Source organism: Homo sapiens, chromosome 2, assembly GCF_000001405.40.
Source record: "Homo sapiens chromosome 2, GRCh38.p14 Primary Assembly".
Taxonomy (NCBI): domain Eukaryota; kingdom Metazoa; phylum Chordata; class Mammalia; order Primates; family Hominidae; genus Homo; species Homo sapiens.
The window spans coordinates 27,792,200-27,818,966 of record NC_000002.12 but is presented as its reverse complement, the minus strand read 5'-3'; the positions used below and the strand labels follow the sequence as shown (position 1 = coordinate 27,818,966).

General features: G+C 43.6%; 1 protein-coding gene across 2 annotated transcripts in view, besides 3 other annotated features; it reads left to right on the top strand.

Annotated features, from left to right (window-relative positions):
• RBKS (ribokinase) overlaps positions 1-26,767 on the top strand; it is a 109,009-nt gene that overhangs the window by 71,421 nt on the left and 10,821 nt on the right. The gene's annotated exons all lie outside the window — the stretch shown is intronic.
• Positions 19,120-20,319: an enhancer, noted in NCBI's record as "P300/CBP strongly-dependent group 1 enhancer chr2:28021515-28022714 (GRCh37/hg19 assembly coordinates)". NCBI's record gives its function as "activates an origin of replication core promoter dependent on BRD2, BRD4, P300/CBP, MED14 and CDK7 cofactors, with strong dependence on P300/CBP, by STARR-seq in HCT116 cells {active_cell/tissue: HCT116}" and the evidence as "EXISTENCE:reporter gene assay evidence [ECO:0000049][PMID:35650434]".
• Positions 19,120-20,465: a biological region, named in NCBI's record as "P300/CBP strongly-dependent group 1 enhancer GRCh37_chr2:28021515-28022714".
• Positions 19,500-20,465: an enhancer, noted in NCBI's record as "H3K27ac hESC enhancer chr2:28021369-28022334 (GRCh37/hg19 assembly coordinates)". NCBI's record gives its function as "activates a minimal SCP1, AML or CMV promoter by ChIP-STARR-seq in naive H9 embryonic stem cells {active_cell/tissue: H9 hESC(naive)}" and the evidence as "EXISTENCE:reporter gene assay evidence [ECO:0000049][PMID:30033119]".

Sequence of the window (26,767 nt, the reverse complement as noted above, 5' to 3'; positions counted from 1 at the left end):
CTTTTTGGTGAAATATCTCAGGGGTTTTTGCATATGGTTTAGCTGTAGTCATCAGTCCCAGTGGCCTGAGTTCTAACCCTGATTTAGCCATTAACTAGCGGTGCTGCTTTGGGCAAATGATGTCTTATGTTTGGGGCTCAGGTTGTTCATCTAAGCATGATGTGTCTGGTGTGGCTGATCTCTGAGGCACCTCTGACCTCTGAAATTCCTTGGTTCATTAGCCTCTGAAATTAGATTCTTTGGGGGCATGAGGATTCTTTAGGCTAATAATAAAAGCTGGGCACCACACTGTGCCAGGCATCATGCTGGACTCTATGCATTACTTCACATTCTCAGAACAACCTGCAGGATGGGTTTTTGACTGTTTGAGGGAGGAGGCAACTATGGTTCTCAAAGGTTACATGACCTGCCCAGGGGCCTACAGCTGGTAAGTTGGCAGAGCCAGGATTGATTTTTAAGTTGGTCGGTCTGCCTATCTGTCTGTCTGTCTGTCTCCAACACCCATGTACTTGCTACCTCAGTCACCACCCTGCCTCTTGATTTGGTGACAGTCTGCCTAGTCTTCACTCTCTCTTATTTGACATTCCAGCACTGACTTTCCTTGTCACTTGTCATGATACAGGCTCCTTGTCTATAGATCTTCAGAAGCGGCCAGATCTTGAAAAGGCCTTGCTTACTTTGTACAGTACACTGCAGCCTCGTTTAAATGAAATAATCCACGTATACCCTGAGAACAGTGCCTGGCACATGTAAGCCCTTAGTATGTGTTAGTTCTTACTAGTACATCCCTATATACCTGATTGTTCACTTTACCACTTTATGGATCATTTAGGTACCAGGTAGCGTAGACCAGGAGCTTGTATCACCCACCATTAAGCAGAATGGATATTCTCTTGGCTCTGTATATTAGTATAATGCACCATGATGCAACTCCAGCTTCTTCCTACCATGGTAAGGAGCAGGACCACGTGGTGATATAGTTTGGCTCTGTGTCCCCACCCAAATCTCATCTCGAATTGTAATCCCCAGGTGTTGAGGGAGGGACCTGGTGGGAGGTGATTAGATTATGGGGGCACTTTTCGCCATGCTATTCTTGTGATAGTGAGTTCTCACGAGATCTGATGATTTTATAAGGGGCTCTTCTCCCTTCCCTTCACATGCTCTATCTCACCTGCAGCCATGGAAGATGGGCCTACTTGTGACTTGTCATGATACAGGCGTCTATAATTACTCCTTTTCTGTAGACCTTCAGAAGCTGCCAGATCTTGAAAAGGCCTTGCTTACCTTGTACAGTATACTGCAGCCTCAGTTAAATGAAATAATCCATGTATACCCTGGGACAGTGCTTCCTTCCACCATGATTGTAAGTTTCCTGAGGCCTCCACAGCCATGCGGAACTGTGAGTCAGTTAAACCTCCTTTCTTTATAAATTACCCAGTCTTGGGTATTTCTTTATAGCAGTGTGAAAATGGACTAATACACATGGACAGTGATGTTGCAGGATCATGCCCATTCCAGACAGCAAAGGTTCTGGAACAACTCATGTTCATTCATTCTCATCAGTGAATGATCAAACCTGGAGGAGAGGTGCACCACTCTCAGACACTATAACCAAATCATTTTTTTATTACATTTCTTTAAGTAGAAGCTAAACTATAAACTGCTAAACTATAAAGGTAGTGAAAATGTGATTCTTCTTTTTTAACATTCACAAACCAGCTTTTTAGTTGAGGCAAACTCCTGCCCATCCTTAAGGTCCATCTCAGAGGTTCTCTTGGGGCAACCCCACTGCTTAATACAATGCTTGGCATATAATAACAGGCCCTCTGCAAATAATAAAAGAGTTCTGGTTCCTTCTGGGAAAGTAACTAGTTTGAGTGTTAAGAGTCGCTTACCCTCCCTAAGCCTTAGTTTTCTCAGGGGACTAGGGGATCAACTGGATTTCTTACATTCCTTAAGTTCTACATTTAAGATGCCCAGGGAAACAATAAATCTTAGATATAAATGCTCCTTATAAATGATTTGAAAACAGAATAATTGCCCAGTTTTCCATTTTAAAACATATCCTTAGGCCGGGCGCGGTGGCTCACGCCTGTTATCCCAGCACTTTGGGAGGCCAAGGCGGGTGGATCACGAGGTCAGGAGATCGAGACCATCCTGGCTAACATAGTGAAACCCTGTCTCTACTAAAAATACAAAAAATTAGCTGGGCGTGGTGGCAGGCACCTGTAGTCCCAGCTACTCGGGAGGCTGAGGCAGGAGAATGGCTGAACCCAGGAGGCGGAGCTTGCAGTGAGCCGAGACCAGCCTGGGTGACAGAGGGAGACTCCTCAAAAACAAAAAAACAAAAAAACAAAAAAACACATATCCTTAGATTGTTTTACCTACAGTCATACAAAGACCAGGCCAAAAAAAACTAAGTTACAGAGAGTGCACAACATCTCTGAAATCAGCATCATAGAATAAAGAAAACCCAAATGAGGTTCCGAAACAGCCCTCTTAACCTTAGAAATGATGTTAGTAAAACTCTGCACACTCTGGTGGCTGGAAAAAATGAAGAAGACAAAAAGTTGTTCACTGACTGTAAGGAAAGGACAGAGGACAAGGTAATTGCAGAAGAGATGGATAGACAAGGCACAAGACATCTGTCATGCCCAGGGGGCCATATTAGCTCTATTACATTACTTCCACATCAACAGATCACCTCATTTATTAGCTAATCAGGCAGAATTCAATATTTTAAATTATCTTTCTTAATCCTGCGTGTGATCAGTTGAATACCCAGGGCTCTAGAAATCTAATTGTAACTGCTTACCAGAAATGTCATCTTCACTTTGAGGAATTGAACCAGGGCCAAATCTAAGGCTGTTTTTTCCATTTTCCCAAGGTACTGTCCCACAGACCTGGACATGCGTGTACATGTGACTACCGCCTGACAGCTTAGGGGCTCCCTGAGGGGATCTGGGCCCCTGGCCCTGCTTCAGAACTCAAATACGGCCAGGGACTGAAAGAGGAATATGGTAGTAGAAGTGGGGTATGGAAGTGGATGTACAGTACAGAAAAGGAACCATTGTTTCAGCCTTGGAAAAAGTCAAGAGAGAAAGAACTAAATCTAGATTTAGAATGTTCTGTGGACCTAGACATGAAATAGTCCCTCTGCCCAGTGAGAGGGCATTGTATAAGGTTATGGGAGCTTGCTTACCCATCTACGATTAGGATTTCGCTTCCTCTTAGCTTCCTACGTCTAAGCCCCACCTGTCCACCCTCCTTAAGCTTCTAAGACATTGATGTGATAATATGGCAGTGAGCCTGTGGTCTACTCCTCGCCCATCTTCCTAGGGTGTTGTAATGGTGTTCTCAGGAGCAAAACTGCCAGGACAACACAAAAGATTTTCTTAGTGGTTTCCATTGAGTGACAATGTTTCTAGGGTAGACCTGAAATTATGAGGAGGTGAAAGAAAACCACCTAGAGCTAGGCGCAATGGTGCAAGCCTGTAATCCCAGCACTTTGGGAGGCAGATGTGGGCAGATTGAGCTCAGGAGTACAAGACCAGCCTGGGCAACATGGCGAAACCCCATTTCGACAAAAAAAGTTAGCCAGCATGGTGGCACACGTCTGTAGTCCCCACTACTTCGGAGGCTGAGGCAAGAGGATCACTTGAGCCTGGGAGACCAAGGCTGCAGTGAGCTGAGATCATGCCACTATATTCCAGCCTGGGCAACAGAGTGAGACCCTGTCTCAAAAAGAGGGGGGAAAAAAAACCACCTAGAGCCAAACCATAGAGCCCATGGCAGTGGGAGCCATGCCCACTGCCCTCAATGCCCATTGCTGCTGATGGAGTTGGACAAGGAAATAGAAAAAGAGGTGTGTGGTTCATAGCTTGCTGAACTCTGCCCTTTGTATAAAAGTGTGTGCATGTGTGTTTGTGTTGTAGGTTAATGGTGTGTATACTTTGCATGTCTATGTTGATGGCATGTACTGTGAATAAACAGTTAATTGCATGAATGTCATGTGCTTATGTGTACGTGTGTGTGTGAACAGAATGTACTGCAGTGGGACAGAGTTCAGCTATAAAGCAATTCATTCTTGCTTTCCTCTTCCTATTTCAGTTCCTTTAAGAACAAATACAGAAGTGTTCTATACTGTGGTACAACCTCTGAAAAAGCTATGGATTTGGAGATCAAAGGGATCCAGAGGTTAGGTGAAGTACATCTCCCCTAAGAGATGCTCTAAAAACTGAAAATGTTACATTGTTTTCTTTCCTTGGTCAAGCAAACAAAAATTAGAAAAAGATTATAGTGACATCTGCTAGGTGCCTTCCGCATGACTGTCCTGTTCCCAATTAGGAAAATCTTTTTCCTTCATTTAGTATTCTCTTTAACTTTTAGTTTTAATATGTAGGAATCTAATTGTTTAGATCAAGTTGTATGTGACTATAATTTGCATTAAATACATACATTTATTTCGCCCCTCACTAGTCCAAGGCAAATCAGATTGCCTCTCTTTCCTTCCTTCCTTTCCTCCTTTTATCCTTTCTTCCTTCAAATGAAATATTTCAACCACACTAAACAGTATAGAGAATAATATCATGAACATCCATTGACTCACCACCTAGCTTTATTGATTTTTAACATTTTGCTATTTTTGCTTCTGATAGTTTTAAGAAATAAAATATTACAAACACACTATGACACCTGTGTTTAAGATGCTTAATGTTATGAAGAGGTTAGCTTTTTTTCTTTTAAGAGATCGGGTCTCACTCTGCCACCCATGCTGGAGTGCAGTGGCACCATCATAGTTCACTGTAGCCTCAAACTCCTGGGCTCAAGCCATCCTCCCACCTTAGCCTCCTGAGTAGCTGGGACCACAGGCATACACCATTATGCCCAGCTGATTTTTTTTTTTCTAGAGCTGGCGTCTCACTTTGTTGCACAGCCTTGTCTTATACTCCTTCCTGGCTTCAAGCAATCCTCCCACCTCAGCCTCCCAAAGTGCTGGAATTATAGGCATGAGCCACCACACTGAACCAGAACTTAGCTATTAATAATACATTTGAAGACAGTATTAGCTTATTAAAATGTCTCGTTCTTTGTCATTCTGCAGTTTTACTACAGGGAATCTAGATCTGAATTTATTTATACTGCTCGTGACTCTTCTTCCTGAATCTCAGTATTTATGTTTTTCATCAATTCTGAAAAACTCACAACCATTTTCTCTTATTGTTGCCTTTCCCCTATTTTCTCTGGGAACCCTATTAGATATTCGCTCTCTCTCTCTCTCCATACATATATATATATAGATATATAGATATAGATCTATGTAGACCTTCTCTTTCTATTCTTCATGTCTTTTAAATTTTGTCTCTTTCATAATTTCTATATCCTGGACTCTCAGTACTATATTCTGGGTTATTTCTTCAGGTCTTTTGCCCAGTTCATTAATTGTCTTCTTAGCCATGCCTAATTTGTTTAGAAACCTGTTTTTGTGTTTAGAAACCGTATTTTTCATTTCTAAAATTTCCATTTGATTCTATCTCAAACCTGTCCATTCTTTCATATGGTAGATTCTTATTTTAAAATTTCTTATTTTGTCTTTAATCATTTTAAACATGTGTCTGTAGTTTCTTTTAGCTGACTCTATTATCTGAAATTGCTGAGGACTAATTTCATGTCTAACTGCTTACTCTTCATGGTAGATTGTTTTGTCACATGTTTTATAATTGCGGGCTGTGAGCTTATCTTCAGTGGTACTTGATCTGTGAGAATCCTATGTAGTCTAGGTTGAAGGTATTTCTTGCCAGAGAAATTTGCCTTTGCTTCTGCCTGCTGCCCCAGGAGTATCCCTAGCTGAGGAATACTTTTATTTTGATCTCTTGGCTTGTGAATTTCTGGCCACACAGGTAGTATAAATTTCTTTTTTTTTTTTTAATGGCTTCTTTTTGTCTGTTTATTTCTGCTTTATATTATGAAACCTTTGTTAAAATGTACTACAGCATATAAAACTACATATTTTAGATGATCTGTTCTTCAGGTCTATCTCTATACCTTAATCCTAACTTTAACCCTTTTTTTTTTCTAAGCACTTTTCTAAGTACTTTATTTTTTATTTTATTATACTTTAAGTTCTAGGTTACATGTGCACAATGTGCAGGTTTGTTACGTATGTATACATGTGCCATGTTGGTGTGCTGCACCCATTAACTCATCATTTACATTAGATATATCTCCTAATGCTGTCCCTCCCCGCTTCCCCCACCCCACAACAGGCCCTGGTGTGTGATGTTCCCCTTCCTGTGTCCAAGTGTTCTCATTGTTCAATTCCCACCTATGAATGAGAACATGCGGTGTTTGGTTTTTTGTCCTTGCGATAGTTTGCTGAGAATGATGGTTTCCAGCTTCATCCATGTCCCTACAAAAGACATGAACTCATCCTTTTATGGCTGCATAGTATTCCATGGTATATATGTGCCACATTTTCTTAATCCAGTTTATCATTGATGGACATTTGGGTTGGTTCCAAGTCTTTGCTGTTGTGAATAGTACCACAATAAACATACGTGTGCATGTGTCTTTATAGCAGCATGATTTATAATCCTTTGGGTATGTACCCAGTAATGGGATGGCTGGGTCAAATGGTATTTCTAGTTCTAGATCCTTGAGGAATCGCCACACTGTCTTCCACAATGGTTGAACTAGTTTACAGTCCCACCAACAGTGTAAAAGTGTTCCTATTTCTCCACATCCTCTCCAGCACCTGTTGTTTCCTGACTTTTTAACTGGTGTGAGATGGTATCTCATTATGGTTTTGATTTGCATTTCTCTGGTGGCCAGTGATGATGAGCATTTTTTCCTGTGTCTGTTGGCTGCATAAATTTCTTACAAATTTACAAGAAAAAAACAGCCCCATCAAAAAGTGGGCAAAGGATATGAACAAACACTTCTCAAAAGGTAGTATAAATTTCACAACCCAAACTGCTTAGGAAGAGGATCACATTACAAAGTCTCAGTGACAGGATTTGTTGCTGTTTCTCTGAGCCAGTGGTGGAATTTTTTTTTCCTGGTTCATCTTTTCTGTAGGAGTCTTAGTTCCAGCACTCCACTTTGCTTGAAACCCACCTTTTGTCCAAACATGGCCATTAAAACCCAAGCCCCATGATTACCCGGACCAGCAAACTGCTTGGATGGCCATAGTTTATGCTCTTGCCGTGCTAGTTTTTAGAACTCTCTTTGTTTTTGGACTCTGGGAAAATCTTATTTCTATTTTTTAGATATATTAATAGTAATAAGGCTTCTGTTTTATCCCAGAGTTCTGAGTATCTTGTAGAAGGAGAGTTTTCAGATCTCTAGGCTACAACATTGCTACAAAGAGAAGCCTAAATTGGGTTTCTTCACAGGCAGTGATCACAGTCAAGGTCCTCAGGCTGCCTTTCATCTTATTCTCAGAGCATCGTGGGAGTTCCAAGACTAATGATACAAAAGCAGCCTCTAGAACTGAAAACAGTTCCTTAAGAAATAGGAAATATTCTATTGGAAAGAATGGCAAAATGGAATGAGGCACATCCCACTGTACACTTTCTTATTCAGCACACTCTGAATTTTCCACATGCCACACAGTGGATATACACTGGTATGCCAGGGACACACTGGCATAATAAGACAGTCCCTGGCCACAAAGAGCTTGGAATCTAGAAGAGTGCATAGTCCATACAGCTAGAATGAGAAGTCCCATGGTGATGCAGTGGAGGGGGCCCACCTAGCCTGAGGAGCCCAGGGAAGCTGTTTGAGAGGGTAAGGGAAGGAGCTGAGCTGAAGGATAAGGCAGAGGCAGCTTGGTAAAGTGGCACTCAGGCAGAGGCAGCAGCTCATGAAGCAGCTAAAGGGAGCATGGCATATTTGTGCTGCTTCAAATAGTTCCATTTGGAAAGACCTGAGTACAAAGGAGAGTTAAGGATGAAGTGGAGAGGTGGCAGGGTTGGGTTGTAAAGGGCTTCCTTTGCCACTTCTGAGAATTCACACTTCTGAGGGCAATGGGGAGCCATTTAAGCAAGGGATACATTTGATCAGATTTATACTTTATAAAAAGATTAATATGGCTGCTGTGTGAAGAATAAATTGGAGTTTACAAGACTGGAGTCAGGGAGAACAGTCCAGAGACTGTCGTATTGATCTGGGTGAGAGATGGTGGCAGCCTGGACTAGGGAAGTGGAAATGGGGATGCTGAGAAGTGGGTTTGAGAGCTCATGGGAATTCAGATGACATAAAGATAGTTCATTTCCTTAAAAAAAGTGGGGGCAGTGGGGCGATAACTAAGATGGTTATTTCATAGTTGAAACAAACAGATCATTCTGTCAGTCTGAGTGGTTTTCAGCATATTTTTTACTCCGACTCACATAAAGGCTAAAACCTACTCCCACTAGAAAGAGTTCCTGTCATCAGTGATTCTCTGCAGATAGCACAGAAAGATGCCTGTATAACTTACAAAAAATAAAATTAAAATCTCAGGTGATCCATAAATGCCCTTCCATCCGGTAAATGCCCTTCCATCCAGTATGCCTGCCTTCTAGGGAATGAATGATCTGTGTAACAGGCAAGCATTTGGAGCAGAAATCAATCCTTCATTTAAAGTAACTGACATTTGAAGGTAACTCTTTTGCAACATAATGCTAGTTCAGATACTTGCCCTACCACCTGTGCCTTAGACACTAGCTTATTCCTGGTAGAAACACAGCCTTCACGTAACTATGCATCCTTCCCTGATAAAGTGACAAATCAGCCAGTATATGACGAATTTGGGTTGTGTAGACAAATATACCAGGTGCACCAGCCAAGACATACACAGTTGGTTGTGAATCATCCACACCAGCTTTCAATGCAGTTAGATTCACAGAACAATTGCTCAGTTCCTTCCTTCATTTTCACAGTGTAGACCTGGCTCAAGACCCAAGAGTGAAGCAGCAAGTGTGAAGAAGCAGAAACATTATAAATAACCCAGAGAATCCTTTTATAACAGCAACTGCCTACTGATTTTGTGGCCTAACAGCTCGAGCAAAAATGAATATAAATACAACATTGTGCAATGACTAATTACTCAAAATTTTGTGCATCAGCAGAAGTGGAACCTGTGGTTGGTGCTAATATTATGAAATGCCTTTGCTGTTTAATAATCTGGTAGCTCTGTATTATTTAGCATGCATTTTTCTTGGAGAACAATGATTTTATTTCAAGTACCTCTCACTGAAATAAAAAAGCAGCTGTTAGAAGATGAACATTTAGCAGAAAATATTTTAGCGAGTCTTTTGTAAGATACTAAGTCCTATTGGATTAACTGTTTTCTGTCTAGAATAGTGGGGTCACAAAAAAAAGGGGATTGCTGACCACAAAAGGCAAAAGGCCAACCTTTAGAACTCAGTGAATCACTAACAGACATTTTAGTTTTAATTGCGATTTACTCACCAATATATATACAAAGCTCTCATTAATATTGCCTGAAGAATGGGCCCTTTTTAATTCCATTTTTAGCTCGCTCTCAGGATTCCACTTCTCTTTCATTAACATGGAATTCTTTAAATTATAGAATAAATTAACCCACCGCAAACATTTTGGGCAGAATGGGGTTTTCAGCAATTTTCAGCCTCCACAGGCCATTCTTCTCAGCAGCTTGCCAGCCAGCAGAGCGGTGAGGGCCATGGCTGGGAGCAGCACCTGCCCCTGAACTTGAAGAGAGGCTAGAGCAGCCCAATGGGCTCCTGGCCCAAGCCCACTCTCAGGGTGACAGTGTCCTTCACATGTTCCTCAGGCTGGCCAAACAAGGGGTGTGCCAGTGCGTAAGCCACATCACCATAAGGCTGCTGGGCACAGCCAGTTTCAGCCAAAGAACATTATGGTTGAGCTGCATTAATGTGCCCATATTGACTCAGGGACAATTTTTACATTATTATAAGCAAAACAGAAAATGTTCTCTTTTAAATTATCAAGAAATGTGAAAAAACAAAGAGTTTCATTTTATCTCCAGTTCCCATTCCTGGGGTGAAGTGGGTGATAGGTAAAGATTAAAAATGGAAGAGTTTTCAGAGATGGCTGAAGATTACCTAGAGGGTGAGGCTCAGGCTTGGGCCGAGGGTGGAATGAGGTATAGAAAAGGGAAAGGATCAGGCATGTCTGTTCTGTATATTATTTGGCAATACAAGACAGTATATCTACATTTTTTACAAATGTTATCTCAAAACACCTTCGTCAAAATGCTCCACTTCAGTCCTGGTCTGACCAGCCAGCCCAGAGCCCATCACAAACTAACAAAGCTGAGAATGGACCCTGAGACACGGTCAGGCCCCAGATGGAGCCAGCCAGTGGCCTCTGTCAATATGAACTAATGGCTGACTTGGACTGGGAGCCATTTGTCAACAATAGTGGGGCCAGATCTGTCCATGGCACCAACCTGTGAGGTAGGTTGAGCACCACAACCAAGCACCTCAACCTGTGTGAAGACTGAGATGGCTGAGACACACTGCATCAGGCAGGGGATTTCTTTTGTCTTTGACTCAATTTTAGATGGAATCCAAGTGATGCAGTTACTATGATTATCTGTACTCTTTCTTAAAAATGGTTACTAAATACTTGTAGGGTACCAATAAAGGAAGAATCTGGCAGTTCTGGGATGAAAGTTAATAGAGTTTTTCTTGTTTTATAGTAGTTGAAATATAATCAATGTATTGAAATTCAGAAGATCAGTGTCATTCGTAATACCACTTATGGTCACTTTGGGCAGTGAAGTGCTGCCCTGAGCATATCTTAGCCCCACCTTACTTTGATTTTGCACTCAACCGCTTATTGATCCTTCTCTGTTCTCACCTATCTTAATGAAAGAAGGCTTTAGCCTCATAAACCTCATTCCAGATAGAAATACATAATTCAAGAGAAACACTGATGTCAAAGAAGAGAAGGCATACCAATTTGTGTCAGCATTTGCTGTAAATTAGAGAGGAGTACAGGGAGAGTTTAATGTAATGTAGAATTGGAATTAAAATAGAACCAATATTTAGGCAGTCCTCCACCTCTTTTTTTCCCTGCTGTGACATGAAGGATTGACTTTCTCCCAGCTTAAGTACCTAATGTAGTTCATTTTTTTTCCTTTCTGCTGGGATTCCCCCCCACAAAATACTACATATTTATTTCTGGCATCCAAAATTAAATATTTTCACCTTTTCCATTCCAATCACAACCAAAAACTCAGGGTATGAAGAGTTGGAGTTTCCCCCTCATCTTCCACACCTTTGCAGCATAGAAAGGACCTCTGGTGGCCGGGCACAGTACCTCATTCCTGGAATCCCAGTACTTTGTGAGGCCAAGACAAGAGGATCGCTTGAGCCCAGGAGTTGCTGGGCAACAATAGAGAGACCTCATCTCTACAAAAAAATTTTTTATAGCCAGGCGTGGTGGCAAATGCCTGTAGTCCCAGCTACTCAGGAGGCTGAGTTGGGAGGATCGTTTGAGTCCGGGGAGGTCAAAGCTGCAGTGAGCCGTGATTGCACCACTGCACTCCAGCCTGGGTGACAGAGCAAGACCCTGTCTCAAAAAAAGAAAAAAAAGACCTCTGCCATGCCAGTGTAATCAGTTCAGCTGTTGTAAATCACTATTAATCCCTCCTTAATACAGTACTAATGTGGGTGTTACCTCCATGGTTTCTTTTTTCCTAAGCTGAGAATAAAAGGTTGATAGTGAACATCTCACAATGTAAATTTGTGCAAGGTGTTCCTGTACACTTGTGAGAATTCTTTAGCACACATGCAAGAGTGTTCTTCCTTTTAAAGTGGTCACATTGGGAAGCTTCACATTCAGACCACATGTTGTTTTCAGAACCTTTTTGGAGCTCTTTATTTGAATTTCTGCCAGAGCCGATCTTGTTCTTTACAGTTGCCCATTGGTTTTGGCCAATGGTGGAGTTCCCTAGCTTGATCCCTCACCTTAATCATTAGACTTGGCTTTAAACAATTCACTCTTTCCAGAAATAAATTCCTTAGGATATGGTTCTCAAAATATGGCCCTAAAGCCAGCAGTATCGGCATCACCTGGGAAGTCATTTGAAACACAAATCCCAGGCCCCACCTTAGATTTAATGGATCAGAAACTTTGGGGATGGAGCCCAGCAGTCGGTGTTTTAACAAACCCTCCAGGCGATTCCAGTGCATGCTCAAGTTTAAGAATCACTGACTGAGATGAAATGTGCCTCCATTGAGGATATTCAAAGATATGCTACAGATTTTGAAGGTACTGAAAGAGAAGTTTCAAAATATTTTTGAGCAAAGTTAGAATACATTTATGGCCTCCCCAGAGGACTGCTTTAATGGGGACTGGGATTTAACCAAGGTGTTCCAGTTCTATCACCTAGCCATTTGACCTTGAGCAAGTTCTTACACTTGGTTTCTCATCCGGAAAATCAAAGACCCACCCTACCTACCTCACGGCATTGCAATGAAATTCAAATTTAATCACATCTGCAAACATGCCCTGTAAACCAGAAAGTGCTGTGGAAAACTGAAAGTCATGTCACACTCTGCAGGCAGAATTCTGGTAGCCTGAACATTATGTCAGGGAAATGAGTGGGGCAAAGGCTTATATTTATCATTTCCCTGGCCAGATATACCTTTTTGTCTATATAATGGCCTTATGGATGTGTCTCAGATTCTGCCATTTCAGCCTACCAATTCATCTGGTATTAAGAGAGGAAAACCATTGCCTGACTAGTAGCTACAAAATGCTAGAAAAATATTAATATATCCATTTTCAGGTCGGTCCTGGTGGCTCACGCCTTTAATCCCAGCACTTTGGGAGGCCGAGGCGGGCGAATCGTTTGAGCCCAGATGTTTGAGACCAGCGTGGGCAACGTGGCAAAACCCTGACTCTACAAAAAAATACCAAAAAAATTAACCACCCACCTGTAGTCCCAGCTACCTGGGAGGCTGAGATAGGAGGATCACTTGAGCCCAGGAGGTTGAGCCTACAGTGAGCTGAGATCATGCCATTGCACTCCAGCCTGGGAAACAGAGTGAAACCCTGTCTCAAAAAAAAAAGAAAAGAAAAATATATCCATTTTTTGGCCGGGCAAGGTGGCTCATGCCTGTAATCCCAGCACTTTGAGAGGCCAGTGTGGGTGGATTACTTGAGGTCAGGAGTTTGAGACTAGCCTGACCTGTATGGTGAAACCCCGTCTCTACTAAAAATACAAAAATTTCCCAGGCATGGTGGTGCACGCTTGTAATCCCAGCTACTCGGGAGGCTGAGGCAGGAGAATCGCTTGAACCCGGAAGGTAGAGGTTGCAGTGAGCTGAGATCGCGCCACTGCACTCCAGCCTGGGCGACAGAGTGAGACTCAGTCTCAAAAAAATGAAAATAAAAAATACAAAAGAAAAATATATCAGTTTTCAAACTTGCTGTTTCCTACAAGGACCCGGGAAAGCTGGGAAATGAGCCATCAGGGCCAACTATGTTGTGTGGATACTGAAGCTCTTATGCCTGGAACATGGCACACACCAGCAGTGCAAGGGTCTGTCCTAAAAATATCATTTTATGCCTGTGCAGGGGTGTCTGGACCTTCAAGGAGGAAGCTCAGTGCTCATTGCCACACATTAATCACTGCAGAGAGACCGAAAAGAAAAGCCCTCAAGAAAATCAGGTCTATGGAAACCAAGATTTACAGACCAAACCAGTTAATGCAAGTTTGTCCAACACAAATTTGTAAACTTTCTTAAAACATTATGAGAATTTTTCTGCGATTTTTTAAACCTCATCAGCTATCGTTAGTGTATTTTATGGCCCAAGACAATTCTTCCAGTGTGGCCCAGGGAAGCCAAAAGATTAGACACCCCTGAATGTATCTGTGTTTGAGAAGAATGTGGATGGATTTTTACCTTAGAGATTAGCCTTTACAAACAACATCATAGGATTTTTTTTTTTTTTTAAGACAAGGTCTCACTGTCACCCAGGCTAGAGTGCACAGCTCACTGCAGCCTCGACTTCCTGGGCTTCAACAATCCTCCCACCTCAACCTCCAGAGTACCTGGGACCACAGGTGTGCACCACCACACCTGGCTAAAGTTTTGCATTTTTTTGTAGAGACGAGGTTTTGCCATCTTCCTGAGCTCAAGCAATCCGCCGGCCTTGGCCTCCCAAAGTGCTGAGTTTACAGGCTTGAGCCACCGTGCCTGGCCAGGAATTCTTAAACAGCAAGCTCCTGGTACATTTATAATTTAATTTGAAAACTTTACAAACTCTTTAATGAACACTTCTGGCCAGGAAGGAAGCTAAACCTGTTGCCTCAGTGCTTATTGGGAATGAAGTTTCAATAACACAGAACCACCTGGCCAACACCAACTTCACTTTTCGCACAAAGTGCCAGCTAAAATCGAGATTAGGTGTGAATATATTAATAATTGGTTTATTATGGTTACATTATTGGATAATTATGGAACAATAAGCTATTGTTTAATTATAGAATTAGAATATGAAATGATTTTGCTCAAAAATGTGGCCCCACTTAACAAATCTCTAGAGACAAAGCAGATAAGTGGTTCCTAGGCCTGTGGATGGTTGGGAGGAATGGGGAGTGACTGTTAATGAGTATGAGGTTTCTTTCAAGGGAGATGAAGATTTCTAAAATTAGATTGTGGTGATGGTTGCTCAACTCTGTAACTATACTGAAGAACATTGGATTGTACACTTTAAATGGGTGTATTATATGTATATTAATTATATCTCAAAGTTGTTTTTTTAAATCCAATAGCTAATGAATTGTAGAGCCAAGACAAAAAAATTGTACCTATTTAAAAGACAGAAGCAAAAATAATATCAAAACTTTGCTGCATGCAGTTTCAGACTTGATTCATATGAAAGTGGTCATTTGAAATACATTAAGCCAGAAAATATTTGCTCTTTTGAGAGTATTGCTCTGTCGCCCAGGCTGAAGTGCAGTGGTGTGATCTCAGCTTACAACAACCTCCACCTCCCGGGTTCAAGTGCCTCAGCCTCCCAAGTAGCTGGGATTACAGGTGCGCACCACCATGCCCAGCTAATTTTTGTACTTTTTTTATGTGTAGATGGGGTTTTGCCATGTCAGTCAGGCTGGTCTCAAACTCCTGACCTCAAGTGATCTGCCCACCTTGGCTTCCCAAAGTGCTGGGATTACAGGCGTGAGTCACCGCACCTGGCCCCTGCTCTGTCTTTTAATTGCAGAGTAATTAAAAAATGGATTATCTCAGACTTTTTTTTTTTTTTGAGACAGAGTCTTGCTCTGTCACCCAGGATGGAGTGGCACAATCCAACAGGGGCACAATCTTGTCTCACTGTGACTTCCACCCCCTGACTCAATAAATCCTCCCACCTCTGCCTCCCAAGCAGGCGGGACTATAAGTACATGCCACCAAACCCAGCTAATTTTTGTATTTTCTGTAGACACAGGGTCTCACCATGTTGCCCAGGCTTGTCTTGGCCTCAACTGATCCTTCCGCCTCAGCCTCCCAAAGCGCTGGGATTACAGGCATGAGCCACCACACCTGGCTAATAATTGAAATTTAAATGTCAAAAATCAAGGTGGCTGGTAGTAGAAGGCAAAGTCATGGACATTTGCGACATAATGGTTTGTCATGTTCCCTACAGATTTCTTTAGAAAAAAAGTCAGCACTTACACAATAATGATAAGAAAACTGAACTCTCACTGTCCATCATGATGCTCATAAACTGACCTGGTTAGGGAAGGCTGCAAGGTTGAGGTTCAGGAAAGGATGTGATCTCATCCTTATGATAGAAATATGCACTGATAAGAGAAGTTAGAAAAATTCAGATTTTGGCCAGGTACAGTGGCACGTGCTTGTAATGCCAACACTCTGGGAGGCCAAGGCAGGAGGATCACTTGAGGCCAGGAGTTTGAGACCAGCCTGGGCAACAAAGAGAGACTCTGTCTCTATAAAAATATTTTTTAAAGAGAAAAGAAAGAAAAAGAAAAATTCAGATTTGAGCTGTGGAACTAGGCTCTTGTGTAAGCGGCACTGTGCCTAATGGCATGTTCACAAACAGACCGCTCAGTCCTGTCTGCATAGGGGAGAACCTTTCCACTTTCCCACTTTGGGAAAGATAGGCCATGCCACGCGGGTTCTCATCTTCTTGTTAAATTCCTCACTCCAGGGGTTGAGTGTCCCTAGGACTCACTGGTGGCCATGGAGACTGTAAATGGAGGTAAACAGGAGAGGAACTGGCTGACAGAGCTAGGGATTTCTGGCTCAGTGAGGAAAGCAGGGAGGTATTAGCGTGCATTGAACTTAGAGTTGCTGCGCAGGGCTTCTTAACTCACTAGAAGTCCCTGACTGGGCCACTGGTAGTTCTTTGGGACAAGAGGTCCTGCTTCATTTTTTCTCAAACTTTGTTTTTCATCATCATCCCATGCCAAGGAAACTTTTTTGAGACTTTTTTTCCTAATCACCCTCCCTCTTCCCCCGTGAAATTTTTATACCACGTACACACATACACACACACACACACACACACACAAACATATGTTCCTTGACCTACAATGGGATTACATTCAGATAAACCAACCGTAAACTGAAAATATAATTAATAGAAAATGCATTTAATACAGCTAACCTACTGCTATACTTGAGATGCTGTCCCTGCTAAATCTCATGTTGAATTGTAATCCCCAGTGTTGGAGCTGGGGTCTTGTGGGAGGTGACTGGATCATGGGGGTGGATTTCTCATGAATGGTGTAGCACCATCCCCTTGCCACTCTCCTCAAAATAGTGAGTGAGTTCTCTCAAGATCTGGTTGTTTAAAAGTATGGTGGTGGGGCACAGTGGCTCACACCTATAATCCCAACACTTTGGGAGGCAAAGGCAGGTGGATTGCCTGAGTTCAGGAGTTCAAGACCAGCATGGGCAACATAGCAAGACTCTCTCTCTAAAAAAAAAAAAAAAAAAAAAAAAAAAATATATATATATATATATATATATATATATTTTTTTTTTTTTTCCCCAGCTACTCGGGAAACTGAGACAGGAGGCTGGCTTGTGCTCCAGAGGTTGGGGCTGCAGTAAGCCATGGGTGACAGAGTGAGACCCTGTGTCAAAAACAAAAGTGCGTGGCATCTTCCCCGTCACTCTCTTTTGCTCCTGCTCTCCCCATGTGCCATGCCTGCTCCTGCTTCGTCCTCCACCATGAGTGAAAGCTCCCTGAGGCCTCCCCAGAAACCACGCAGGTGCCAGCACCATGCTTGTACACCTGCAAAACCATGAGCCAGTTAAATCTCTTTTCTTTATAAATTAGCCAGCCTCAGGTATTTCTTTATAGCAATGCAAGAACTGCCTAACACACCTACCAAACATTATATTACAGTTTGTACTGAATATGTATCACTTTCACACTGTCATAAACTTGAAAAATTATAAGTCGAACCATCATAAGTTGGGACCGCTTGTGTGTGTGTGTGTGTGTGTGTGTGTGTGTGTGTGTGTGTGTATACTGTGGCCCTTTGGAGAGCATTTGTGTAATATCTAAGATTTTTTTCACGCACTGCCACCAAGAATGGATTTTGACCCCTTTCGGGGAGATATAGCCCCAGTTGGGAATGCATGCCCTGGATGAAATGAAGGCTGTAGGCAGGGCCCTTCTGTTCACTCTGAGTGGCGAGGTTGATGACATGGAGTAAGTAGGTCAGGTGGCCCTATATCCATCATTAATCAGGATAGGCCCTGACCTCAGGTTCCAGCACTGCCCTGCTAGAGACGTCCTCCAAAATCACACTGTTCCTGCACCATCTGTTCAGCCTGCCTGCCCCGTCCTCCAGCCTCTGCTACATCTCCTCTCCATGGGTGGCAGCCCTCTGCCCAGTGGCCGGCTAGCTGTGGTAGACAGTGGAATGCTCCATCAAGTTGGCATTACTGAGGAAGTGCAGGCTGTCCCTGCCAGCAGTAACCCTGTTCCCATCCTGTCCTGCAGCCTTACCCGCCCCAGCTCTAGGCCTCTGTCCAGACGCCTCTCTCAGTGTTCTCCCTCTGCACGTCCTCCCCAAATGAAAGCATGGGGAATGGATTTCAGAGACCCCAGCACACAATGTTGACCATGGCTGGAACTCTCTGGAGCCTGGCATCCCTCATAAACAAGGGCCACAGGACACTGGCCTTCACCTCTTCCTGGCTCCAAGTGCATTCCTGGATGCCTTTATCCTTCTACTGTGAGCTGGAAACATAAAGCCAGTCACAGCATAAACCCCTTGTCTCACAATCCTATGGATTGTGCCCTAGGATGGTGACCTACTTTGTTTCTTAGAAGCCTTGTCTGGCCCCCTCTGACCTAGGTCATGGGCTTTCTCTGCCAAAAACTTGAGCAACTTAAGGGGCCACTGAGATAATACCATCTTTGTCTGCCTCACCTTTGTTGAACACCTGCTCTGTGCCAAGCACTGTGCTAAGCCTTTTCACATACATTACTTAATTCAGTCTTCACAATGGCCCTATGAGGTAAGTTCCCATTGTACAGATAAATAAACCCACAGAAAAGCTGAGTGACTTGCCAGAGGTCACACAGCTAGTAAGTGGTGAAATTAGGACTTAAACCCAGGTCTGTCTGAAATCCAAACCATTTACTGCATTGTCCCAGTTGAAAAAAACATTTTCCAGTTGTATGAATAGAAATAAAAATGACACAAGACCTTTATTGCCAGTGAAAAGACAGTGAATTTACCATTCTTAAAAGATGACAGAGCTGGCCAGGAGTGGTGGCTTGCACCTGTAGTCCCAGCTACTCAGGAGGCTGAAGTGGGAGGATTGCTTGGGCCCAGGAGGTTGAGGCTGCAGTGAGCCGTGATCGCGCCACTGTAACCCAACCTGGGTGACAGAGCAAGAGCCGATCTCAAAAAAAAAAAAAAAAAAAAAGACACCTAACAACAAGGGGCAGAGGCAGGACTTAAAACCAGGTACATATGACACCCATATCTCCTGCCTGTCAGTGATTAACCCTTGGAGGACAAAGAATGACTTTTACGTTCCCAGGCCCAGTCAGCTAGATACTCACGCCTCAGCCTCCTGCAGGCAAGAACAAGGCAGAAGCCCCATTTTTAGAACTTGGAAGAGAGCGCAGAGCAAGCCTGGCCCCTGGGCCAGCCTAAGTATGAGCCATCTCAGCAGCTGGCGCAGCCCTCCTTGAAACACTCTCCCTTGAAGAAATTCTGACCTAAACCCAGTGTAGCCAGCAAGGCTGACCCTGTTGGTGGAATCTGGTGGCCCCAGTATGGTGGTGGGAGGTAACAGAGACCCTGGTGGTTTACATTTGCCCTCTCTCCCTTTCCTGAACCCCTGGCAATATTCTTTTTTAAGAAATAATGCATTGACTTATGATTTAGTCATGTTTCATCCCATTTGCTTTTCCCTGGCTTCTAAAACCACAAGCATGGCTGAGGAATTCATGTCCACAGTGTAGGCTCTGAATAGCTTTGTGTAGGGAGAGGTTTTGAAAAGAGAAGAAAGTGGCATCTACTTGTGAGATGGAATGCATGAAGACATCGGGGAGGAATGCACGCGCTGTAACTGTTAGGGTCCCTCGGCAGTTTGGGTAGTGACTCATTCAGCGTGGGTACGGATTCCTAACAAGTGAAGCTTGGTAGTGACGTCATTCTTGCAAGATTGTCTGGAATCTGTTAGAGCTGCCTGACAAGATCTTACCTTGGAGACTTTCATCACTTGGGGGTTTTTCCCAGCTACACTTCATACCCATCATTTCCTCCAACTTGTCCCCTTTTCTATCAACTGGAATTTGGCAAACCAGAACTTTCATGCATCTGTTCCATTGTCATCCTCCTACAGGGCGTTCCTGGGACAGTGTGTGCTCCTCACCTCATCGCTCAGCACCCATCCTCCTGACAGTTCTTGGTTCGGTCAGTGCCTACCTCAGCTATGGTCCAGGCCTTGCACTAGGTCTCAGGACAGGGAGGTGATGAAGACAGGCGTGCTACCCTCAAGGGGAGGGCAGGGGGCAGCCAGAGGGCCTGAGACTGGTGGTTTCCGGGACAGCACAGTGCTTTGAACATAGTGCTAGGCAATAAATATGTGATGGCCAAGTTAATACCCAAGCTGAGTCTCCAAAAATGAGTATAGGAGTTAGTCTAGGGAAAAGTCCAAGCCGAGGTGTCTCCATGTACTGAGACCCGTAAGTGAATAGGAAGAAGTAAGTTCCTTAAGTGAATAGGAGGAAGTAAGAGATGAAACTGGAAAAGTGGTTTAGGGAACCTCGTGTGCCATGTTAAGAAGTTGATGCCACGGGGGCCACGTGGACAGATTTGCAGTAGTGTAGAGGATGGGCTGGAAGGGTCCAGACCGGAGGCAGGGAGACTGGCTTGGAAGTTAATGTGACCCTGTGAGGTGATGTGAACATTACTGGGGCAGTGGGGGTAGGAGTGGAGACAAGAGGACAGATTTGAGAAACATTTAGGATTTAAACTCGACAACTGGTGATTGATGAAGTATATGGGAAGGAGATGCCCAGGAGACCCCCAGGTTTTCAGTGTGGAGGTGCCACAAGCTGAAAAGATAAGAAGAGGTCCATGTTAAGGCAGAGTTTTGAGTTCATTTCGGCCGTGTTGAGTTAGAGTTGCCTGCAAGAGACATGAGCCAGGTTAAGCAGGCTCACGGGTGGTTAGATACACAAATCCAAAGACAGAGGAGAGTCTGGGCTAAAGATACTGATTTAGGACCCATTATATTCATAGCAGCTGAAACTGTATGGCTACATACCCCCCAACTTCCTTTCCTGCTCCATGTCTGTTTATCTAGGACTTGGGCGCCTACATGACCATTTTTCTCTCTGTCCCAATGCTGTCATGATGTGGGATGACTTCAGTGCCATGAGGATGAACCATTACCAAGTCTCATAGCTCCTAGATGCCCTCTATTCTGGTGACTCTTCACCTCCACTCCACTGCAGCCTCCCACTCCCATGACAACCTCCAGGACATTGCTAGTACCTCCTTGGAACCACTTCAGTTCTCCGGTAAAACCTCACATCCTCCTCTCTGAGCAGCCCCTGGCTTTCAACTCTTCTACGCCGTTCCCAGTTGTCTTAGTTCCCTGTACTTTCTCCTTGCCTGTTGACCCCCTCCTGACCTCTCTTCTTTCCTGATCCAGGTCAGACTCTCCGACTGTTCATCTGAAATATTCTTTCCTGAAACCTTTGATTCCTTTGTACCCCTGCTCCTCTCCCACACCTGCCCAGGACAACGCTAGTTCATGTTCTCTGCTCCTGCCACAAGCACACAGAGGAAAATGGACCCCCCATGCAGTGGAGCCTCACTGGAGCTTCATGGCCTTCCCTCTTCCATCCCTGTATTTCTTCATCACTATGGAAAACATAAGCCTTCCCATGGGGAAATGGGAAAATGTGGGCAGTCTCTTTCCCCCAAAATAGCTTCTCCATCTGCTCTGCTGCTGAATTCCTGCACAGATGACCTTGGTACAAATCTCAACTGCCATTTACCACCTTTTCTTTACACTGGGCAAGAGATTTAACCTCCTTGAATCCCAGTTTCCTCAGCGTAAAATAAAGATGGCCCAGGGTTGCTGCTGGCGTCTGTGACACCCTGTGCAAATTATTATAGAAGAAGCTGCCCCTCTTGCTAGGCACACAGCTTGGTGAGCTGGCCGTGGCCCACAGCCCACTCTCAGCCCTCAGCTGGGCACCCTTGCGCAATGCCACTTTGCCTAATCGCACACCGCAGCCCCAAATAAGCCTACCTCCCCTGGGTTCTGATGAAAACAAAGGCCATAACCTGGAAAGCACTCAGCAGAGAGCCTGACTCTGAGCAGAGCCTCAAAACAAAAGCTATCGCAGACCAGCAGACTCAGATTAACATGGAAGTGTGCTCTGCTGGGGATGTCACACATTTATGCCAGCTCCACAGCGTTTATTAGAGAGCAGAGCCTTAAGAAGCAGGGACATGAGTCAGGTACCTTCAGTGAAGGAACTAACCCATGGCCATAGTCAAGGGCCCAGGCAGGCAAGGGACAATGGGAGGGAGAGAGGAGTGAGGCAGCTATGGACAGACAGGATTGTCTGAAACGGAGGGGAAGGGAAATAAGAAACCAGCCTCCCTATGGCAACATTGCCTCGAGCCCTAGCAGCAGAGGCTGCCCACCCAGACCCATACCCAGCTCCAGGCGCTGCCTCAGGGGCTCCTGCCTCTCAGATTCTCCCCTTGGGGTCATCTCGCCAGCTGCTCATGAGTGTCATCTCTCACCAGCCCTGCTAAATCCTCAACCCTCCCCACCGGCACCCCTCCCACCCCCATTAGAAGGCTCAGGTATTCCATGGGGCCAGTTTTCCTGTCCTTGCGCTTCCCTGATTCCCCAGCTTCCTCAATGGGCACCACTAGAACTCAGAACCCAGAAGTGTCAAGGACCTCAGGAAGGCAGGGGTTTCAGATGCCACACCCACTCTATAAGAGCAGCTCTTCCTTAAGAGGAAATCACTGTGAGAAGGCAAAGGGTAGTAGCCACATGGGTATTATATTGAAGGAAGATGAATTATGCCATCACCCCTTTTGGCACAAAAATAATTTTCAGTAAAAGGTTAAAACCATCATGTTGTATCAATGAGAACTATTTCATTATTCCAAGAATGATTGACTGGAAAGTACTTGACTTACAGGAAAATCACAGTGATACAATACAGCTCCTACTTTTAAAGCACTTTCCGTTTAAAAAAAAAATCATACCAGTGTATAAAAATAGTTATACCGAAGATGTGAATCAACAGCCAAGTAATTTATTGGCACTTGAAAGCTTTGTGGTATAAATAGATTCAACAATGAGAATGTCAAGTAACTCTGGGCCATGGCAACCTAACCTTCATTTTCACTAACACAAAAGAAAGTCACGTGTAGTTCAGCAAGGGCCATCTGGTCACCTTAGAAGAGATCATGGGAAGAGAAGAACATGATAGAACCAGGACCAATAAGTCAGGTCAACTCAAAGCAAGGGACAAGGCAGCAGGAGAAACAGAGGGGACAGAAAAGTAGTCCCTGCCCTAAAGAGAGTTCAGATTGTCCCAGAGCGAAGGCTTGTACAGAAAACGTTCAGCACAATGAACTCAGAGTCCTAAGAGAAATACAAAGGGATTACAGGATGTCAAAAGGGAGGGAGACTCTTTTCAGCTTGATTTCCTTCCTTTTTCCCTCCCTCTTTGCCTGCTTGCCCCAAACCTTCACTGGGTGGTGAAACAGGATGGGAGCGGAATCACTGGGTCTGGGTACAAAGTGCAGCTCTGCCATTTACCAGCTCTGTGACTCTGGACAAATGACTGGATGTTTCTGAGACTCAATTCCCTCAAGTTTCAGTGGCGGGGGAGTGCAGGGTCAGTGTGAAGATGAAATGAGGTCAATGTTGTGTGTGTGTGTATATAAATACCCGGCTTTGCTGCCTCTTGATGAGGAGCAAACAGTAAAAGTTCACTCTCTTCCTTACCCTTCCACTCCTCTGTAAAGAGTACAAGGCCTTTTCTGCCCCTTTTATGTTTAAATTTCAAAGAGTTTTTCCACTGTTGGATGTAATGTGACTTTTCAGATCAGCCTTCTTGTCTTTGACCCGAAGGCCCCTGTCAGCCAGGAGCCTCCCTGCTTCTTTGTGGTTTGGGGCTCAGTAGTCCAACTGCTGCCCTCTTTGTGCAGAAAAACACAGAACCCCTGCATCTCACATCTGGTGAGAAGGTGGAGACTGGGGCAACTGAGAGACGGTCCATCAGCAAGCATTAATTGAACACACAGGACTTTTAAGGGATTGTAAAACTCTAAGGAGTCAGCAGGGAAAGACATGGACGAGATTTCCGACCTCTCGTAAGAGTTTAACACATGGAGATTGCCTCTGTCATGGTTCTTGGTTGAAAACAGAAGAAACCAGTGGTGGTCTTGGCACAGGGCGCTGGATACCATCACAACAGGACTGCCACTAACATCCCAGTCCTCAATTTTTTGTTTTTGGGCAATCAATGTCACAGCTAAAAAGTGTTCCTCCTGGGCTGGGCATAGTGGCTCACACCTGTAATCCCAGCACTTTGGGAGGCCGAGGCAGGCGGATCACCCAAGGTCAGGAGTTTGAGACCAGCCTGGCCAACATGTTGAAACCCTGTCTCTACTAAAAATACAAAAATTAGCCGGGCGTGGTGACACACGCTTGTAATCCCAGCTACTTGGGAGGCTGAGGCAGGAGAATTGCTTGAACCCGGGAGGCAGAGGTTGCAGTGAGCCGAGATCGTGCTATTGCACTCCAGCCTGGGCAACAAGAGCGAAAACTCCAGCTCAAAAAAAAAAAAAAAGAAAAAAAAACGAAAGTGTTCCTCCCAGTCCTCTCATTGTTTCATGGGGGTGTCATTGTCTAGTTCATGGTTACAACGGAAACTGCCTCAATGAGGTGGGTATTCCCAAGTGTGGGAAAGAGCTTCACTTCAGTCTACCCCGATTTGTAGCAGATGTCCACTTAATTAAAAAGAAAGAGAGAAATCATTCAGGGGTAGAAATTGGCCCATTTGCAAATTCACAAAGAGTGACTGATATTGATTTCTTTCTCACACTTGGGATTTTTAAAATTTCTTTATTATTATTATTATTATTATTATTATTATTATTATTATTATTTTGTGGGGGGGATGGAGTTTCGCTCTTGTTGCCCAGGCTGGAGTGCAGTGGCACAATCTCAGCTCACCACAACCTCCACCTCCCAGGTTCAAGCGATTCTCCTGCCTCGGCCTCCCAAGTAGCTGTTATTACAGGCATGCACCACCACGCCCGGCTAATTTTGTATTTGGTAGAGATGGGGTTTCTCCATGTTAGTCAGGATGGTCTTGAACTCCCAACCTCAGGTGATCCGCCAGCCTTGGCCTCCCAAAGTGCTGGGATTACAGGCATGAGCCACCGCGCCCAGCCCCCAAAACTTCTTTAATAAAATTTTTTATTTTTAAAAAGTAAAACTTACAGAAAATTTGCAGTAGCCCCATATACTCTTCACCTAGTTTCCCCAATATTAGCATTTTGCCACATTTGTTTTATTGCTTTCTCTCAAAATACATCAATATCATCCTTTTTTCTATTTGAGAGTAAGTCACAGACATCATGATTCTACCTCTTAATACTTCAGGATATGTCTCCTGAAAAAAAGGACATAACAAAAATACAATATAATTATCAAATTCAAGAAGTTTTACATGGAGATAATCTTATATGTACAGTCCTGTAATGTCCCAATAGTGGTTTTTTATCATTTTTGGTTCAGGATCCAATCCAAGACTACGTGTTACTTTAGTCTCCTTGAATATGGAACAGGTTCTTAAACTATGTTGTCTTTCATGACACTGATATTTTTTGAACAGCACAAGCTCATTGTTTTGTAGAATGTATGTCAATTTAGGTCTGTCTTACGCATTTGAGGCAGGAATACTACATCCGTGACCTTGTGTCCTTCTCCAGGCCCCACATCAGGGAGCAGTGGTGTCAGTTTGTCTTCTTATTGGTGATGCTACTGTTGGTCACTTGGTTAAGGTGGTGCCTAGCAGGTTTCTCAAGTGTACAGTTACTCTTTTTGCCTCTGTAATTAATACATAATCTGTGGGGGGATTATTTATAACTTGTAAATATCCTACCCTCATCCTACCTTTACCCAGCAGTGTTAATGCCTCCATTGATGATTCCTTCCTGAATCAGACAGCACTATGATTGTTGCAGAATAGTGACTTTTTAAAGGTTTTTACTAGCTGGCATTCTACTGTAAGGAAGAATTTTTCTTTCTCCAGTATATTTATTTATTTTATATCAGTATAGACTTGTGGATTCTTAATAACATTTAATGTGACTGTTAACAGTTTATCTATTTTCAGAATCCTTTAAGTAAATTGCTTTTGCATTTTGTGGATGAGTCAACCTAATTGCAGCCAGAGCTCTTTCCTGATGTGGGTTTGGCCATTTAATCTATGCTCCACTCTATAGCAAGGCCAACAGGAAATAGAATGCTGACCTTTTATAGGAATTGTTGGGTTAAGCACATAGGTTGTTGAAGTGTTTTGAGTAACTCTGGCAAAATGAGGTACTCTGGGAAGATATCATAAAGGAGCAGGGCCTTAAAGACAGCAAAGGGTTTTGAATGAAGGCCCAAAAAGGTAAAGAAGACTGGCAGGATCAATGGCTTCCAAACTAGACACAGAGAAAGGGGGACTTGGCAGGGCAAGAAGGAGTGGGAGAAGGTCAGAGTGTGAACCAGCAGTGAAGTGAACGTGCCCAGTCTGCGTGGAGGGTGTGCAAAAGAGCAAGGGAGGTCAAGGGAGGAAGTGGAAAAATAAATGAAGAAACGACATGTGTTAAGAGTTCTGTTCATTGATTTTAGGTAAAAAGATTGAGCACCAAGGGATGATAGATTCAGTGGAAGCAAAGCCATCAACTTTTAATTAGGGAAAAGACTAGAAATGCTTTTGGTCAGAAAGGAAAGAACTAACAGTTGCTTAGCTTTTATTTTTTAATTTCTCTCTTCTATTGAAAGTTGAGCTGTTTTTTAATGTTCACAAAATCCTTATGAGAGAGATGTTAATAACTTCATTTTATATATAAGAAAACAAAGTCACAGAGAATTTACATTAATTTCCCCAATGTCATAAAGCTAGTAAGTGGTGAGGCCAAGATTCACATACAGGTCTATCTTACTCCAAAGCCCACGCTGCCAGAAGAAAGAAATCTTTAGACTGGAAGAGCAGAGGT